Source organism: Homo sapiens, chromosome 9, assembly GCF_000001405.40.
Source record: "Homo sapiens chromosome 9, GRCh38.p14 Primary Assembly".
NCBI lineage: Eukaryota > Metazoa > Chordata > Mammalia > Primates > Hominidae > Homo > Homo sapiens.
In genome coordinates, this window is record NC_000009.12 from 21,979,476 (window position 1) to 21,998,948 (window position 19,473).

Consider the following 19,473-nt stretch of genomic DNA (forward strand, 5'->3'; position numbering starts at 1 on the left):
AAGATAGGATATTTTTGAGGACTTGAGGTCCCTCAAAAATAATGAAGAAATAGAACTCAAAGTACAGCGGTGGTTATAGATTTTGTCACAAGAGATACATAGATTTGGGAGGGAGAAAAGGTCAGAACGGGGAGGAAGTTGAGGCACTTCCTTCTATGAATGAGGAGGTTAGCTTGTTTGCAGAGTGAAAATAAGATGGTCGGTTAGGAAGTTTGAGAATCGTAAAGGTTTGGAATACCTCTTATGAGTAGAGAGGATGGGTTGAGTAAGACTCAGACAGAGAAGCCTTTTGTTTTGTTCTTTAAAACCAGACTGGAGAACCCAGCTGAGGGTGGAGATCATGACACAGTAGGGACACCTGATTACTTTCTTTAAACTAAAGAAAGCCCTGCAGTGGTGCTACTACTTCAGCAACCCTACAAATCAAAGACTAGTCATAATAGATGTGAATATTAATTCAACATATTACCATAAAGAGACAGAAAGATACTTGAGAAGGTAGTGTTCCAGAGTTGGGTTCTGGTTCTGATGCGGCATTGTAGGATTGGCAATATGCACGTATTTCATGGGATAAGCAAGATGATTTTGTTAGGAAAATAAAGGGAGTTGAGGCAATAGCTCTACACTGAGACCAAGTGACAGTTCTCATGTATCTAATGAACTATTTTTTGACTGCAAAATCTTTTGAGATTATTTCTAGATTCATTGTCCATAATTTTCAAAATGGGCTCTCTCTTGTTCTATTGTTTACGCTTGAGGTGAGATAATACACACATATTTCTTTACCAGTTTCAATATTAACATTATTATTAAAGATAATTGTTTTAAATATAGCTTGGTGTTAAAAACAAAATATACATAGAATATCTCTGGGGAGATACAGGAAAAGCTGTTACCTGTGAGGTAAGGAAATGAAGAACTGGGATGGGCATGTGACTTACTTTTCACATTCCATGATTTATATTGTTTGAATTTTGTACTATGTCCATGGCCTTTCTAATGAATTAAATAAACATAATAAAACTAGTAGACAAATAAGTTACTTTTATTAGAATCATCATTCATAACTTTAGTTGAAAAAGAGTAACTGAGTACCTAATATATGTCAGGCACTCGGCTTAAAGTTGTCAATATTAATTAAGAAAGAAGGTTTCTTAGTCAAGAGCATGTATTGGTAACAACCATCAATATATTTGCTTCTCTGCCAGGCGCGGTGGCTCACGCCTGTAATCCCAGCACTTTGGGAGGCCGAGGCGGGCGGATCACGAGGTCAGGAGATCTAGACCATCCTAGGTAACACGGTGAAACCCCATCTCTACTAAAGATACAAAAAATTAGCCAGGCGAGGTGGCGGGCACCTGTAGTCCCAGCTACTCCGGAGGCTGAGGAAGGAGAATGGCGTGAACCCGGGGGGCGGAGCTTGCAGTGAGCCGAGATCGCGCCACTGCACTCCAGCCTGGGCAACAGAGCGAGACTCCGTCTCAAAAAAAAAAAATGTATATATATATATACACGTATATATATATACGTGTATATATATATATACGTGTATATATATATACGTGTATATATATATATACGTGTATATATATATACGTGTATATATATATATACGTGTATATATATACGTGTATATATATATATACGTGTATATATATATATACGTGTATATATATATATACGTGTATATATATATATACGTGTATATATATATATACGTGTATATATATATTTGCTTCTCTGGAGGAGGAAGGTGGTCTTGAACTGGGATGAGCTCTTGAGTGGAGCCTACAGTAATCATTTGAGGAGGGAAGACTGGGGTGATGCATTCTGATAAATGACACCTCACACTTGTGTTACCAGGAAAAAAAGATTTCAGAGTCTGGAAAAGCTCCCATAATTAAAGAGAATTCCTTAGGAAGTAGCTTATGAGAGCGAGATATATGCCCTGTAATGGAGCTCCCAGGTACAGCTGTGTTAAGCCTTCATAGATGAGTTCTAGAATAGGATGTTGGGTGCAATAGATAATTATTTGAAGGCAAAGGCAATGGAGGAATAATTCCATGCATCCCTTTAATTTAGAAAAGCAATAATGTAAGGAAATTAGAGTCCCTGTCCTAGTTCTACCACCTACTTTGTTACCCTGAAAAAATGACTTTTTTTTTTTTTTACTAGCTTCAATGTCTTGATCTACAAAACGGGTATAATCACAAACATGTAAAAACAGATTGTGGTTTAGCCCCGAAGTGCCAAAGTGCTCCTGAAGCTGCCCCGGATAAAAATTCTGATAATCGAGTCCAATGTGGGTGGTAAGAGCATTTTAAACGGGAAAGAAACACTTTCTTAGGTAAATAATTGCAAGGTATTTAATTACTTATGTTCCACAAGGAAAAAAGATAGCTTCAGCATGAAAGGGAGACCTCTGAGAAAGTAGAGCAGACCTCCAAACAGATTTGCTAAGAAAAAACAATGTGTCCCTGGGAGTAGATCTCTAGAAGTTTCAAAACATTGGATGTTTCTTTCTCCCTTTTACTATTCTCTATTTAATTAAATTCAATATAGCACAATTATTTAGTATTTGCTATAAGGAAGGTACTCTTTTAGAAACTCTGTGCCAACTTCCCTCATTCAGAATTACTGTAAAATTTATCTTCCTACTCAAACTGGATCTTAGTAAGGAGTACAAAATGCAAAATTCTTTGATGTGTTGTAGATTTAATGCATAATTATAGTTAAGTCACAATTTTCAACCTTAGTTTCCAAAATGTTAACTGGGTATAGAATTAGCAGTACCTATTATCATCTTCCCAAGAATATTTTGAAGGAAACTTAAAAGTATATTACTTATTATATAGCAGGTATCTTTTCTAAATTATGTGCAAAACAAATGTGATTTTAAATCTATGTGAGAAATTTACTATTAAAATATCTCTAGGGTGTACTCTTGTGAAATGAGGGATCTTTGCAGCTCATGGAGACAATTATTCCTTAACTTTTTTGTAAATTTTTTTTATGTTGATAAATTACTTGTGGCGAATTACTTATATCTATTTGTAGCTATTTGATCAGCTGAGAACACTAAAAGATTAGCACAGTATGTATGTATGTACATACTATATGCACATATTTGGTATATATGTATATTATGTACAGCACAGATATTGAGAATTGACCTCATCCTGAGGAACAAAATAAGTAATAAACATAATTAGAGGAGATAGGCAGAAAGAAATAGAGATAATAAAAAATTCATTAAAAGTTGCCAAGAAAATAATGGCTATCATTTTTTCAACCCCCAGCTATGTGACAAGCATCAAGCAGTTTTATATGTGTAATTTATAATTCCACAGCTGTCCCATGGGATAGAGAGTATTATTCTTTCTTCATAATGCAGACAAAAAAAAAAGCTCAGAGTGCTTAAGTAATAAGGAAAAGAAAAGTTCAAACTTAAGGTTCTCAGTTCTGTTTGAGAGGTCCTCACTCTCCCTACTACAATATGTTTTCCTAATGATAATTTATCCAGTACATTGTGGACAACTCATCAATGCTTCCTTTTCTTTGAGGACTCTGCTTTAGAGCAAGTTGCAAAACCTGGGCCAAGATTACTGACTCTCCATTTTCAGAAACTACTGTGCTTCTATGATTATTCTTCAGTAGTAATACATAGTGATAGAAATTTGGAACTCAAAGACACGCAAAGTCCCCTGAAAGTCACTTAATTCAGTCCCCTCATTTTTGAATGATTTGCTTTCCTGATTAAAGCTCACATATTTAAAAATAATTAAGGAATTAGCTGCACATAGAAAATGAAAAACTACCCCACACAAAGCAATAATTATTAACATTTTGAAATACTTCTTCCTTTTTCTTTGCTTAATCTTTACATTGTGAATATTATGCAATTTTGAAATGAGCTTTTTCTAACTTATTACAGCATTTTCCAAACTTCTCCAAAAACACTTCATAAATGCTACTTTTAACAGCTGTAACACATCCCACTGGAAAAAGTTATAATTTACTTAATGATGTCCCTGTTGTCAGATATTTAAGGTGTTTCTAATTGCTACTAAAAATAGTATTGCAGTTTTTCAAAGGGTAGAAGGCTCTTGAATATATTGTAAAACTGCTTTTTAAAAAGCCACCATTTTGATTTATAGATAACAAAATGGAGGAGTGGTACATATTGAGGAACTATGTAGCTATGGTTACTCAGCTAATAAATGTTTGCTGTAGCTGTTGAAGTCAGTTCCTCTCTCCATTCTCCATTCTTTCTATGGCCACAGCTACTTAATTGGACTTAATGTGGGTGGCGGGAAATGCCAACCATATCCTTAATCATAATTTTGGAAATGACACATATGCAAGTGGGACAAGCCTAGTCTTTAAACTCAGATAGAACTGACCTCTCATTTACCAGCTCTGTGGGCTTGAATAAGTTATGTAAACTTTCTGAGCCTTTATTTCCTCACCTCACAAAGTGGGGAAAATAAAATTTACCCCATAAGGTTACTGTGAGGAATAAAGAATGTCAGATATATAAAAATCCGGGTGCACGGTAGGCTCTCAATAAATGGTGCTTTTTAATTTTTTGAGAATATATATGACATTTACTATGAAGTTATTCATTTAGGTCATCAAAATAAATGTCCTTTTGAGTAATTTTTCATTAATTCCTGTACATTCTAGCAGGTATCTGTGGTTTCAACAAGCAAATTCTCTTCTAAAAGGTATGATGCTACCTCTGAATTCTAACCCTCTGAAAAAACAGCTTCTTTGTAACAAAGTTTCCCATGTTATGACAGAAGAATTTCCAAAAAAAACCCCTCATTAAATCATGAGAAGTGACACTGGAGAGTGTCACTGTGTTCAGTGTTTCCTCTGCATTCATTGCTACCCACCTCCACTGCTTGGAGTGCATTTCAAGTGGAAGGTACAATGGAGAAACTACAGTTAAAACTGAGGAATTGCAAAATTTACTTTCTCTAAACTACTTTTCCTAACCTCCCTCTTTTTCATTCTTGATAGGACAGATTTTCCCCTCTCAAATATGCTGTCCTTTTTAATTGCTAACACAAGCATATATAATATCTCATTTCTGCTTATGCTGCTGATGTACGCATGTGCTGTTAGAGTTCTGAGATAATGTTGAAAGTCACAGATAAATAATAATGTATTCGGTTTTCACTACTGGGAGTGGAGGTTTAATATTCATGTTTCACTGATAGGTTTAACACTGGTTTAGGATACTCTAATTTCAGGGGCACCATCTACATGGAAGCTTTTCTCATCAAATGGAGAATGGTTGTCCCCCTTTTGCCCCTCTAAAAAACTATCCTTTAAAAGTAGCTTGCTTTCTTGGGACTCTATAGTCTTACTGTTATGTTCAATTTTCTGTGTCCTTTCCTGAACTTAGGAGAGTTCTGAAGCCAATCTCCCCTCTGATATTATTAAAGATTGCAAGAAAATTTTCTTGTGTTAGACCATTCTTCCCCAAATCACATTCTTCACCTGATATGTGATTCAACTCCACTCAAGGGAATCAACTTCTTGATGAAATATAATCAACTTTGATTAAATAAGTAACTGCTTCCTATTCATGTTTTAGCACTTTTCACATACAGATTTAACATTTCCACTCATGTTTTCCTTTGAGTCTCTGGGTTGAGGGTAGAGTTTTATCTTTTGTGTTGTTACGGTTAAGATGATAACTTCCATAATTAATTTTTCAAAAAGGCAATGATAACAGAATATACTGTATGTTTACTCTGTACTGATTTAAAACCCCCAAGTCAATTTAGCCTTAAGAAAGCATACTATTTAGTGTATTTTGTGTTACTCTTTGATATCCTACTTCTAAATAACTTCTTCACATTTGCATAAAAATAACTGAAGGTCACCCTCCAAGGTAGGCATTTTGAATGTCGTAAGGATGACAGTAATGTTTCTGCCTATCATTCCTTTCATCACACAGACACACACACACATAATTTTTTATACTAAAGAATTTTTAGAAAATTGTTTTGGTCAAAACTGTTGATTCAGATATTCAGACTGTGACAACCATTCTGAAGGAATTAAAAATCCAGTTATCTTCAGTGATTCCTTTGGAAATTATTATTCTGGGTTATTAGATAGATAGACTAATAACTTTTTTTCCAGTTTTCTAAAGCTACCTTGATTTCCTGTCTTAGAAAACAGGGGTTCACAAACACTGCTTAATATCTCTTTAATGATTATGAATACTAGAATAGCTTAGAGGTATACCCTAAAGGCCACCATATAGATCTTCTGTACAGATGTGAATTTAAAAGTATGCAAATTTACACTGATTTTACCTAACACCTTGGAACATACCAGGAGTCTGAATACATAAATATATTTTTATTATGATATGTATATTTTTAAAGTGGAGTTTAGAAATTTCTAGCTACACTGAAAAATTATAATGAAGTAGGTATTTACTGTAAAAAACTAATGTGCTTTCTTAAGGGCATAGTTTAATTAGGCACTATAATAACTGACAAACGTACACTGTGTAAAAGTTTACAGTGACTCTTCACACATACTATTTTATCTACCTCTTATTACGGGACTACCATAGGGTCTCAGGTTTACAGATGAGAACATGAAAGCACTGAGAGTTTCTCATACTTCATTCTGGTACCATGACAGCTAATAAGCAAAAGAAATAGAATCTGCTCACAGGTCATGTGAATGCTAAAGAAAGTAATCTTTCAACTGCACGCTTCAAGTGGTTCCTGTGCTGGTGAATAGGTATCCCACTTATTGCTTTTAAATTAAGGTAGGAATAAGTAATTTATATGTACAGTCATATGAGAATTTTTCACTGGTTTTATTTTGGTCAAAAAATAAATTTTTGAAAGATGTTAACCTCCTTTCAACCAATAAATATTTACTGTGACTTATACGGCTGATGCTTGAGTATAGTAGAGGCCCAAAGGGGTTAAGCGACTTTCAAAATAATAGTTAACTAAAAGAGATGGAACTGAAACCATATACATATTTATAGCACTCCATGGGCAACCAAGTTCAACTATATATGAATTACTAGTCAATGACTTTTGGTAGGCCATGCAACCTATCTGAGCCTCAGTCTCCAGATCTACAAAATGAAAAAATGAAACATTGAAAACATAAGGATATTGTGATAATTAAATTAGATAATGGAAGTTGAAGTGTCCTATTATTGTTAAGCTCCTCCTAATTGTTTTTGAAGAAAACAATAACTTTACCATGTGATTTAGGAAGAAAGTTTCAATAAGCTTTTAAAAATTAAATGTTAAATATAATATATTCAACTTCAACTATTCAGCATGTAAATTGCATGGAGTAAAATTCAAAGTGTCCGATGTTGGACATTTAACAATTAGATGTTCAACTGGGGGAGTCATTGTTCTCTAGACAGCTGCTGTTTCTTTAAATTGGGTGAGAGAGTTATACAATTGCTGAGTCAGATGATCTGGCAGCCTGAAAGAGAATGAGAGCAAGAAAATGGTGGCACTCGAGAAAAGAAAGCAAAACAAGCTTTTTCCTAATACATCAGCAAAGTCACTGGTGTAATATTAGACAAATTTTAGCTTAAAAGCAGAAAAATGATCATTTGAAAGGCATGATATTTTAGTTTTTCTTATAATTGTTACTTTTTAGCTTACATTTTTCATCTATATTTCCCCCCCCATCACTGTGCTTTTACAGAGACATAAAGACCCATCATTTTGTCCATAAATGCTTTATTCTGTTATGGCTACATTTTCCTGCAATCTTGCCCTGATCTTAGATAAGCATAAGTTAAACCTGTGAAACACTTGTGCTTTGATTTTTCTTTTTTACATAATTTTAGGTTGTCATGTTTATTACGAGCCTGGTCTGGATCATAAAATGAAAGAAACCCCTTATTACAACACACACACACACACACACACACACACACACACACAGAGAGAGAGAGAGAGAGAGAGAGATCCATTCATCCTGCACGAACAGAAAGAAGTGTATATAGTGTTTTAAAAAGACAACGTATCTTATATAGCTTATGTGGAAATTTTCTGTCTGGTTCTGTAAGCTTTAAAACACAAATATATCTTGTTATATTTTTTTCTCTCAAACTATGTTCTGACTGTAAAAATGTGGTATCTACAAGACATTCTTTTCCAATTCATACAAAGGGTCACATAATAATAAAGGGTCTCCTTCATTTGGTGAAATAACTCCTCCACTGATTACTCAGACTCTCCTCCCTGGGATCCAGTAAACTGACTCTAAACTTAAAATCTTACCTAAAATCCTGGACCTCAATTCAAAGATAAAGAAGCAGAAATAAGGTTTAAAAAGTAAAATTGGTCATATTTGTCAAATTGTGTCCCAATGGGCCACTTGTATTAGTATCTCCTTCAAGTGTTTATTTAAAATGCAGATTTCTGGGACCCACAGCAAATCTGAATCAAATTTTCTGAACGTGAACCCCAGAAATATGTATTTTTAAAGGCAGCCCAGGTAATAATGCTGTTGTTAACCTTTGCCATACTTTTAAAATTTCTAGTTACTCACATAATTCAATTAAGAAAGCAGAGGCTTTTTTATTTACGTTACCTTGATTGTACGATTTTATTAGTTTCAATTTGCTTAAGAGATTACATGTCTTTGTTCATGTAATTCTGAACCTCTATAAAACTTTTCTCTCTTAAAAAAATCCTACTGCCTTCACAACCATTTAAATAATTTATGATATTTTATTTTGAAGGTGAAAGAGAAAACTGAGAAATAGTTGAATTAAAAAATCCTTTGTGATAACATGTTTATATTTTCATGAACAAAGCCAATAAGTCATAAAAATTAAAAATCAACATACTATTTTTTGAAAGGACCTCTGATGCTTTGGGAATTTCAATCCTGTAGTTGATGGCTTTCACTTTTTTTTCCCTTTTATTACTTCTTTTTGATTGTAGAGTTCTGCCCAAATGAAACCATCATTCCAGGGCTCATGAATTAAATGAATGCACTGAGAGACACTGACAAGCACTGAGAATTTCTTCAACCACCCTTTTTAAAAAACAAATGCTAATTGGACATAAATATGAGAACAATAGACATTGGGGACTACTAGATGGAGGAGAAAGGGAATGAGCGAGGGCTGAAATACTACCTACTGTGGGTACTGTGCTCACTACTTGAGTGACAGATTCAGTCGTACTCGAAACCTCAGCATGGTGCAATATACCTTTGTAATTAACCTGCACATGTGCCCTCTCCTCCTAAATAAAAGTTGAAAAAAAATCTACGAGGCACTATATTTTTAAAAATACCACTATGTACAAGGCACTGTGCTATATCTGGAACTACAAATATTAGTTAAATAGTCCAAGATTCAGTGGGTTCAGAGACTCTAAGTATTTGCCATTCCCTTTAGATGGAAACGTTCTTTGGTCCACCAAGCCCTATCGTTCTGCTCTTTGGAAATTCTCCCTCACTTTCTTCATAATGCCGTCCTTGACTAACTCTCCTCTAGCAATACTATTGGTTTTGTATGTGATTTAAAATCATTCCTGTAATTTCTTCTGTTTATATGGCTTCGTACAAGAGATTCACATTCAACAAATAGAAAAAAAACGCTATTGACATTTGGTAGCTTCGACAATTGTAAACACATGTGGGTTTGCTGAATACACATTAAAATAGCATGAATTAGGATATGGTAAATCTGTTGCGGTCCCAAGTTGGTGGGTTTTTCTAGGAAGAGTCAGACCCTTTAAAAGGACCTTTTATCATCTACCAAACAAATCCTTCATTTATTAATTCCCAAGGTTTTCTCCATCGGTTGGCTTACTGTCATGGAAATTGATCTTGTTTTAATAGCTACTTACTTTTTTTTATTCTAATCAATGATTTCATTTGAAAAGAAAATTTTCAAACATGGGGAAAGCTGCAATATAAGAAGAAAACAATGGAGAGACATCGTCACTGGAAAAATACTACGGGCCACTCTCTATACCATCCTGCACCCCCAGATGGAGAAACTGAGGGAAGTCGTGGCCTTTCAACACTCTTGGGTCTCCATCTGGCTTGGAAGGGAACGAAATGGCTGTCAAGAGTCTCAGAAGCGCACTTTCCCCGTGGTTCCTCCGGGTAACCCTGACTCACTTTTCATCTACCCATCCCCTCCAAAACAAGGCCTAGCCAGTTCCAAGCTGGAGAGGTGACCCAGAGTTGCCTTCTGTCATGTCCTGCCTTTCGTCTCGAGTCCACTAACCCCACTCAGACTCTGTCTGCTCCCACCCCCACCGCGGCCAGTGAAATCCCAATCGTCTTCCACGTGGAACCCCAGGTCCGCAGTTATGATAACGGATCACATCGCTCCTGCGGAAAGTGCGCGCGGTGGAGTGATAATTGGACCTAGCGTCTAAATTCTTGTTGGAGGACCTCGTTCCAGCTGCCAGTTAAGCCTCTGGGATCCGCAGCGTCTCTAGGAATTGAGAGAGTGGGGAAGTTAGGATCCAGGAGGAGGATGGTGGGGGCTGAGGAGTGGAGGAGCAGCGTGCATCTCATCTCTTGTCGCCGGGCGGGCGCTCTTTCGGGTCCAGGGCCCTTGCACCCCCAGCGTGGCTCCGGAGGCGGCGAGACCTGCCTGAAATTGATTGGAGGGGACTAGAGTGTGCTTGTGGGGTGGGGTAGTGGGGGCGGAGAGAAGAGATCCCAAGAAGGGCGCCAAGTGCTGTGACCAGAGGCCTAACACGAGGCACCTTGGAAACAGGTATAGCTACGGATTTATGGGTTTTAAAATGGAACGTCTTGGTGAATGGACATAGCGTGCATTTCACAGTCTGACGTCACAGCCCTCGCAGGTTTTCCCAGACCTTAAAGCCACGTTCTCGTGTATGACACTTAAACAACTCAGTTTCCTTGTCTTTCCTCCCTCCCTACCCATCTAAGGGTAGAGAAGCTCTTAGTTCATCCACTGTGTAGGACTGTTACCGTGTGTCAAAGGCTTTGGAAATGTATATTTTACTGATGATGGTCATAGCACTTTGGAAAACTCAAAAGTGAAACGAAGAAAATAAATATCACCAAACTTTTTCCCAACCCCTCTCATCCTGCGGAAACCATTATAACTAATTTGGTGAGAGAGAGAGAGAGAGAGAGAGAGAGAGAGAGAGAGAGAAACTGTTTACTGTTTGGAATCTTGCTTTAAAAAAACCTGACTTTATAATGCAATCATTTAACAGTCTATGAAATATTCTTCAGATACCTGATGATCCAGAATGTAACTGTACCATAATTTAACACTTTATTGCTAGAATTTTATGCAGTTTTTGATTTCTTGCTACTACTTATCCATCTGTATTAATCTTTGTCAGAACCTTTCTTTCCTTAGGATGATGCCTGAATATAAAATAGCTGAATGAAAGTGGATGGGTTCATTTTAAAATACAAAATTGTTTTTCTTGATGGTGAAGTGTTTAAGAGGTGGATTAATCTCATTGGGCAACAAATAGAGAAGATATTAGTAGTTAGGTATATGAGAATCAGAATTCAGATAATTTGTCTTAAAAATTCATATTCAATGTAAAAATTTTATATTTAGAAAATGAAACTGTACCCATTGTTTATATAACTTAAACTGCCAAAATAAAGCACCACAAAAACTTTTTATCACGTTGGTTTTTGTATCAGGCTGGGCTTTGCAGCAGATGGAGGAGCTAGGGCAAGCTTGTCCAACCTGTGGGCCCGAGGGTCACATGCAGCCCAGGATGGTTTTGAATGCTGCCCAACACAAATTCATACACTTTCTTAAAGTATCATGAGTTTTTTTTTTTTTTTAAGCTCATCAGCTATTGTTAGTGTTAGTGTATTTAATGTGTGTCCCAAGACAATTCTTCTTCTTCCTATGTGGCCCAGGGAAGGTAAAAGATTGAACACCCCTGGCCTACAGTGTTCTACTATGAAGTTTCAGTTTTAGTTCGGCCTAGAATGTTTTAGTACAGAAGGCAAGTGAGATTTTCTCTGTTTCTCCAAGGACTTTTGAAAAAGTGTAAAAGCACTGGGCCCACTGTTGAACCTTGCTATAAAAAAGTATTTTTGATACCATTTGTATCACTTTAGTAATAGGAGTTTTTCATATGTTGGGAAAATGGTTTAGCTTAACTCTATCATGGTAGTTGATAGTGATGAACTAACGTGGAATAATAGATCTGTAAACCATCATAGACGGTAATAGGCTATGTTGTTGCTACCTTAGGATCATAATGGACTTTCTAAAATTCAAGAGTACTCAAAGAAGTAAAATGAATATAAGTCTTGATTTCTGAAAGGGCTATGGTTCACTTGGAACACAATACAAACTGTGAATCATGTACACATGGGGAATAATGGTTTATACTAACTGCACAGTGCTTACCTTGAGAGGACTCTGTGCTATTAAAGAAAAAAATAACCTGAGCCTTCTGAAGTAGCTATAAACAAATGAATATTTAACTTCATAATAAAAATATGACTATTTTGTAAATGCACCAAGGTAGAAGTAACAAATCAACTATGGCAATTTTTCAGGTTTCTGTGGTTAAGAAACTGGTAACGTGGAATTTTAGTATATGTATTTCCAATCATATAAAAATAAAAAGTCATAATAAACATATTTGCAGAAACTTAAAAAAAGTTAAAATAACATCTTATTTGCAATGATATTAAATAATTCATACAAGTAATTTTTAGCACTTGTGCCTCTCAAGGAATTGTATGAATCCTAACATAATTAGTATCCATATATATTCCCAAATCAATATAGCCATGGGCATAAAATATATTAATGTGAAATATATAATTACATATCATTATAATTAACACCGCTAGATTTTATATTATGTATATCATTTTACATATGAAATTGGAAAATTGCATATATTTCAAGACATTCTATCCAAGCTGTGTTCTATCTTGAGAAACTTCCTGAAGATTGCGCTTTTCACATACGTCCTGAAAATTGATTTATACCTAAATAACAAAAAATGATCTATTTCAATGAACCTATCATTTAAATATTTTTGCATTTCATGCATATACATTAACATACTATAAAATATTTTCTCTAACTTAAAATCACCACAATGTTATGTTTTATAGGCCTAAACTAAAAAATACATAATTATGGCATTTATATACATTGACATGTTCTACTTTGTTACTACAGATTTTCAGAGGCAACTTAATAATTTAAACAAAATGATTTTATATAGAATAATATTAACTAGAGTAATAAATATTTTTATATAGACAATAATATTAAGAACTATATTCATACAGTTACCGGTCACAGTGGCTAAACTTTTGCTGATACGGATAAACCACTGTTAAAAAAAACAACAACCAGGGTCTTGTCAATGTTTCAAAATGAATTAAAATCAAATCCAGCAACAGGCCCTGAAATCCTTTATAAGCTCCTTTGACTAAATTAAAAAAATTAACTTGCATAATATGAAAAGTAAAAAATAAAATGTGCATTTATCCTATAGATTATAAATTTTTGCTAATAGAAATTGAGACACTAAATTAAACACTGATAGTTTTAACAGGTTTATATTTCCATGTCAAAGAGACAATTAACATTGCAGTAAAAAAATAATTACCCCTCCGCTGGCCTTTGCTTTTTGAAGCTATATATTCCTGGCGAAGCATACCACAAGGACGGTCATAAAAGTGAAGCCTCATTAAATTACTTTTAGACTTATTACACAAGTTTTAATTAGCATTGTACATATTTTAACTGTACATATATTCTTTCAGTTTTCCTGGTTATAGGAAATTACACTGGCTGTGTCAACATTTGTCAATGTGAGGACAAAACTACCTTGGATTCTGTTTTTCAAGAAGTAGGCCTCATTTTTAAACTGTGCTAACTGTCGTCTGAGATGACTAAAATACTATCAGTTGGGATTTCTCAGGAACAGTTCTACAGTTCTGTCGTTTGCTAAACATACGAGCATTGTCCCGAGCAGTTTCAATCACTCAGGCCGCCGGACCTCTACCTCTAACTCACAAAGAAAGCCCATTTCCCTGTTGGCTGCAAAACTCCCCCAAGAAGCAAGTGCTTGCTCCTCGCAGCAGTAACTGATCCTACGATCCTTGTTAGCATTTCAGGAAGTCGCTGCCTGCGTGCCCCGTATCTCACGGGTCCTCCACTCTCCTGGAAGGTGGGAGAGGGTGACCCCGCCGGGAGGCTGGGGAGAAAAAAGGCCGCCTCCAGAAAACTTAGATGGTTAGCAATAATTCTCCCCAAGGAGAAAGAAAGTGTGCTTGAAATACACCTTTCCTACTGTGTGTGTGTGTGTGTGTGTGTGTGTGTGTGTGTGTGTGTGTGTGTCTTAGTCATTCCCACCCAGGATATTCGGGACTCACTGACTTCTGAGGTGGGTTTAGAAGCTCTGTTCGCCTCAGTTTCCCACGATTGAGGGGCTGTGTGAAGGGAGGTCCAGGTTCAATGGTACTGCGAGAACCACATGTCTAAGTCGTTGTAACCCGAATGGGGAAGCCTCCACCGGCGGTTATCTCCTCCTCCTCCTAGCCTGGGCTAGAGACGAATTATCTGTTTACGAAATCACACCAAACAAAACAAGTGCCGAATGCGCCCCGGACTTTTCGAGGGCCTTTCCTACCTGGTCTTCTAGGAAGCGGCTGCTGCCCTAGACGCTGGCTCCTCAGTAGCATCAGCACGAGGGCCACAGCGGCGGGCGCCCCTGGCGCTGCCCACTCCCCCGTGAGCCGCGGGATGTGAACCACGAAAACCCTCACTCGCGGCGGGCCGCACGCGCGCCGAATCCGGAGGGTCACCAAGAACCTGCGCACCATGTTCTCGCCGCCTCCAGGGCCGAGCTCGGCAGCCGCTGCGCCGCCCTTTGGCACCAGAGGTGAGCAGCGCCACTCCTGCCCCCTTAACTGCAGACTGGGACCCACGCACCGCCCCCTGCCCATCTCCGCCCCGCAGGCGCGCACCCGCCTTCCCTGAGCGCGCCCGCCCCCCACCTTCACCCCCACCCCCACCCCACCCCCACTCCCACCCGGACCTCCAAGATCTCGGAACGGCTCTGAGCCCTGCGCACGCGGGAAGGGCTGCCGGAGGCGCCCGTAGGGAGGCGCGCGCGCGGGCGGCTCAGGGCCCGCGTTCCTCTCCCTCCCGCCTACCGCCACTTTCCCGCCCTGTGTGCGCCCCCACCCCCACCACCATCTTCCCACCCTCAGCGCGGGCGCCCCGCGGTGACGGCCCAGGGGCCGGACGCCTGGAACGCAACTCCAGGCAGCTCGCCCCCTAGCTACATCCGTCACCTGACACGGCCCTACCAGGAACAGCCGCGCTCCCGCGGATTCTGGTGCTGCTCGCGTCCCCGCTCCCCTATTCCCCTTATTTTATTCCTGGCTCCCCTCGTCGAAAGTCTTCCATTCTTCAAACTAGATTATTTAAAAATGAAAAAGGAAGAAAGGAAAGCGAGGTCATCTCATTGCTCTATCCGCCAATCAGGAGGCTGAATGTCAGTTTTGAACTAAAAGCCGCTCCGCTCCTCTTCTAGATTTGGAAAACAAGCGAAATTAAACTAAACCGCTGCACGCCTCTGACGCGACATCTGGACACGGCGCGGCGCTGGCGCTGCCGGAGCTGTCGACCCGGCCTGGCGCCGGACTAGGTAGGTGGAGTCGCACCCGGGGGTCCCAGCTGGGTCCGGGCGCCCATTCCCCTCCCAGCTGCCCGCGTCGCCGAGGGCGCCTGGCTGGGACAAGCACCGAGTCCTTTGTGTCTAGCCCATTTTTATTTTCGGTTTTAACCTTCACGACAGCCGCGGAGCATCTGAGCGCTTCTTCCTCTTTCCTCTTCCCCCGCGCTCCCCTCCCCTGCTGGCCGCTCCCCTCCTGTCGCCGCGTCCTCGCGTAGAATGGTTGTCTTGGCGACCGTTGGCCGCTGCCGCCTCCACGCTCTGCCCCGCGCCCAGACACCCCGACTCCCCTTGATCCCGCCGCCTGACTCCTCGGCGTACGTTCTCTCTCCGGTCTCCCCCTCCATGTCCCCTCCTCCCCTTTTCTTCCACATCACCGATCCTTTCTGGACTCTCTCCCTTCCTCCTTTCCAGCTGGGAGACAGGAAAAGCGGTCCTGTTTGGGAACAGTAAAAGCAGGGCAAGGAAAGGAAGGAGCGGCAGAAAGGAGGGGTGAGTCGAGGACACAGGGGCAGCCGGAGAATGCGGAGGAGCCGGGTCCTGAGCGCGGTCTAAGCGAGGCTCGGCTCTCGTCCAGGAACTCGGACGCGGGCTCGCCGGCTCTCCGCGCGCGGGAAGTCGAGCCCAGGACGCCGCCTTCAGGCCGGCGCGCTGACCCGGTGCCCCGACCCGGAGCCTGCGGTCTGCCTGGATCCGTCCTAAACCTCGCGGGCTGGACCCGCGGCCTGAGTGGGTGGGTGTGTGCCAGAGGATTCGGGACTAGGCCCAGCTCCGGGAACCTGGAAATGTGGCCCGCTTCTCAGTGGCTTCCTGTTCATGCGCTTGGGCCTAGTGGCCTAGTTGAAGAAGTGGAACCACAGCGTGAGCCGACAGGGCCTTACAGATCAGACGTCAAGCCCCCCAGACCTTACAGGGGAGGAAAGTGAGGCCTGCACTGGCCGAGCCACCCACTTAAGGCGGTGCGGTAGCCTAGAGGAGCGGCAGACTTCTCTTTCCCCATCCCCCGCCCCATCACTTGACGTTGCTGCCGGACCTCGGTACAAACCCAAGACAAAACGGGGCCCTTTGGAAAAAGTGAGATTTAGCGATCACTCTTACGTAGCCACTCTAAATATCTATCTAGATATTTACAAATGCACCTCCCCGGTAGGTAGATTTCACTCAGAATTTACCCAACACCGTGCTTTGTGCTGGGGCCACATGCCACCTTTCTGTCTAGTATGGCTGCTCTTTCTCCCTCTTCGCAAATATAGCTCTTTTTCCTTCAGGTCTCTTCTGAAGTAAGTAGCCCTTCCTCAGAAATGCTTCCCTTTTCAGGCACCCTCATACCACCGTGATTTTTTTCTTTATAGCACTTAGGACGAAGAGATTATTTTACTTATGTACTTGTTTACTTGTTTGTTGTGTAGAATGTCAGCTCTATGGGAACCAGATCCTTTTATGGGTCTTCCTCTGCACCTATGCCACGCCCCCAGCATTCCCCTCCTACCACCACCTTCAGCCGGCCTCCGCCTCTGTAGGGGGGCATTAGGTTTTCTGTCCCACAGAGGAAGGGCGCTTTAGAAAGGGTTAGTTCATCCTGGAAGAAAAACGATGTCGGATGCCAGCATAGTGTCATTTAAAGATACTGGAGGAATGGAGTGGGAGCGGTGAGGGTTTCTTGGGCCTAGACAATGTAACTAGTTGTTGCAATAAAGCATGGTGGGGAAAGGAGAAAAGGCACGTATTAAACATCTTTTGAAGTCGCTATCTATATCAGTCAGTTCTCCAGGGAAACAGAACCCATTGTGTGTGTGTGCGTGCCAGTACCACACATATGTATATGTATATACACACCGTCATGGGGTTGCTTAACAACAGGGATACATTCTCAGACATGTATCTTTAGGCGATTTCATTGTTGTGCAAACATCATATACAAACCTAGGTGGTATAGTCTATTATACATCTAGGCTGTATGGTATGGGCTATTGCTCCTAGGCTGCAAACCTTTACAACATGTTACTATACTGAATACTGTAGATAATTGTAACAAAATGTAGTTTTATATCTAAACACATCTAAACATAGAAAAGGTAGTATGTTGTGCTACAACTTTAGGACAGCTATGACATCACTAGGGGATAGGAATTTTTCACATCCATTATAATCTTATGGGACACCACCAATATGTGACTGTGGTTGACTGAAGCATCGTTATCCAGCACATGACTCTGTGTGTGTATACAATTTTATATATACGTACATTATATGTCTACACACACATATGTGGGGGAGAGAAAGAGAGGGAGGGAGAGAGAGAGAGAGAGAGAGAGAAAGAGAAAGAGAGAAAATACTTATTTTAAGGAATTGTCTCAGAAAATGGTGGGGGTTGACAAATTGGAGACCCAGGGAAGAGTTGTTGTTGCAAGACTTGAATCCAAAGGCAATCTGGAAGCAGAATTTCTTCTTCCTTGAGGGACCTCAGTCATTTCTCTTAAGCTCTTCAACTGCTTGGATGAGGACCACCCATATTATTGAGGATAATCTGCTTTTTCAAGTCTACTGACTTAAATGTTAATCATATCTAAAAAATACCTCCACAGCAATATTTAGACTGGTGTTTGACTCAAACACTGGGTACCACAGCCTAGCCAAGTTGACATACCAAATTAACTGTCACATTATCCCGTCATGCCTGAGGGGTTCTCTGACCCTCAGTTTTCTGAGGATCAAATTTAAATTGAGGGATCTATCTTTGTTTATTGGAGCCATATAGCTCAAAGTATAATCATTTTCTCTCCACAGGAACTAGACCTAGGGATAAGGGTAATTGCTTATTTCAGAGGAATGCCATCTGAATAAAAGGATAATTATATAGTAAGCTCTCTGTTCAAAAAATGTAAATATTAAAGTTTGAACATCTAAATTCCATCTTGGTTTCCCCCACTGCCGCTGCCCAATACCTGTTCTCTTTCAGTTGCAGTATGCAGGGGAATTCTAAGTTTAATATTAGTCTCAGCAAAATACAATGGTGAAGATGACTCTTTCTAGCATAACAATGGGTATGTGGTATTCCAAATACTTTTGGAATGCGGAGTGACTATTGGCTATGTGCTCTTCAAAAAATTAATAATGAAGAACTGAGCATGTAATTTCACTTATATTACTTATTTTATCCTCACAGTGGCCTTTCAAAATTGGGATTATTACTCCTGTTTTACAGGTGGAAAGAATGAGGCCTAGAAAGGCTCAAATCTTGAACACTTCATGGCCAGCAAGAGCCAGGGCTGGAATCATCAGGCAGGCCTTTGGGTTACAAGCCTTGTGCCTTTTCTGTTGTCCCAAAGGCCAGGGTCAATAGGGAGTGAGTTATCTGTGGGTCACTTATGCAGACAGAATCACTGAATATTGGAAGTTTTTGGGGTTCTCTTCCACTGGCCTAAAAACCTGAGTTAATTGAGTTTTTTTTAACAGGGGTAAATAATTTTCTGTTTTAGATCAGCAAATTCATTCCATAGGCAGGGATAGGGGAGAAAAATCTTACTGAATATCCCTTGTCTTGTTCTCCTCCTCCCCAAACTTAATGTCCTATGACACTAGCTTTATCCCTTAGGTAACTCTTGATTATCCAAATTTCATGAGAAACTTTCCTAACATTGCACATGCTCAAACTCAAAACCCCAAAGTCATAAGAAAAAAGATAACATAAGCAAGAATAAAAAACAATTATTTGATCATATATGTCAAAAGATTAATTACTAGACTATATAAATAAATA

General features: G+C 39.7%; 1 protein-coding gene and 2 long non-coding RNA genes across 36 annotated transcripts in view, besides 6 other annotated features; 1 reads left to right on the top strand and 2 right to left on the bottom strand.

Annotated features, from left to right (window-relative positions):
• CDKN2A (cyclin dependent kinase inhibitor 2A) overlaps positions 1 to 15,849 on the bottom strand; it is a 27,573-nt gene extending 11,724 nt beyond the window's left edge. Inside the window, exon 1 of one of the 3 annotated variants that reach the window (NM_001363763.2) lies at positions 15,346 to 15,849. Coding sequence is in view for 1 of the 3 variants with exons in the window: in NM_058195.4 (NP_478102.2) it covers positions 14,664 to 14,856 (193 nt within the window). In the remaining 2 variants the exon portion in view is untranslated. Of the gene's footprint in view, positions 1 to 14,663; positions 14,918 to 15,071; positions 15,160 to 15,345 lie in introns of those variants that run through there. The other 2 variants (XM_047422597.1, NM_058195.4) reach the window with 2 other exon arrangements.
• On the bottom strand, positions 1,025 to 14,553 carry LOC124902130 (uncharacterized). The gene is made up of 2 exons (XR_007061436.1): positions 14,411 to 14,553; positions 1,025 to 13,005 (listed from the first exon to the last, which is right to left on the bottom strand). It is a non-coding gene; the product is annotated as an uncharacterized LOC124902130 (long non-coding RNA).
• Positions 9,931 to 10,075: an enhancer, noted in NCBI's record as "145 bp 9:21989477 sequence used in MPRA reporter constructs". NCBI's record gives its function as "activates a minimal TATA-containing promoter with rs3731198 allelic activity by MPRAs in UACC903 melanoma cells {active_cell/tissue: UACC903}" and the evidence as "EXISTENCE:reporter gene assay evidence [ECO:0000049][PMID:36423637]".
• Positions 9,931 to 10,563: a biological region, named in NCBI's record as "H3K4me1 hESC enhancer GRCh37_chr9:21989455-21990037".
• Positions 9,981 to 10,563: an enhancer, noted in NCBI's record as "H3K4me1 hESC enhancer chr9:21989455-21990037 (GRCh37/hg19 assembly coordinates)". NCBI's record gives its function as "activates a minimal SCP1, AML or CMV promoter by ChIP-STARR-seq in primed H9 embryonic stem cells {active_cell/tissue: H9 hESC(primed)}" and the evidence as "EXISTENCE:reporter gene assay evidence [ECO:0000049][PMID:30033119]".
• Position 10,003: a transcriptional cis regulatory region, noted in NCBI's record as "rs3731198 or 9:21989477 MPRA-significant variant associated with a GWAS melanoma risk locus at 9p21.3". NCBI's record gives its function as "allelic transcriptional activity by MPRAs in UACC903 melanoma cells {active_cell/tissue: UACC903}" and the evidence as "EXISTENCE:reporter gene assay evidence [ECO:0000049][PMID:36423637]".
• Positions 14,990 to 15,249: a silencer, noted in NCBI's record as "silent region_19813". NCBI's record gives its function as "represses an Ori minimal core promoter by ATAC-STARR-seq in GM12878 lymphoblastoid cells {active_cell/tissue: GM12878}" and the evidence as "EXISTENCE:reporter gene assay evidence [ECO:0000049][PMID:35858748]".
• CDKN2B-AS1 (CDKN2B and CDKN2A antisense cis and trans regulatory RNA 1) overlaps positions 15,316 to 19,473 on the top strand; it is a 133,352-nt gene continuing 129,194 nt past the window's right edge. For all 32 annotated transcript variants that reach the window (NR_185867.1, NR_185859.1, NR_120536.1 and 29 more), the window contains exon 1: positions 15,316 to 15,686. This is a non-coding gene — a long non-coding RNA (CDKN2B and CDKN2A antisense cis and trans regulatory RNA 1). The remainder of the gene's footprint in view (positions 15,687 to 19,473) is intronic.
• Positions 15,570 to 15,769: a silencer, noted in NCBI's record as "silent region_19814". NCBI's record gives its function as "represses an Ori minimal core promoter by ATAC-STARR-seq in GM12878 lymphoblastoid cells {active_cell/tissue: GM12878}" and the evidence as "EXISTENCE:reporter gene assay evidence [ECO:0000049][PMID:35858748]".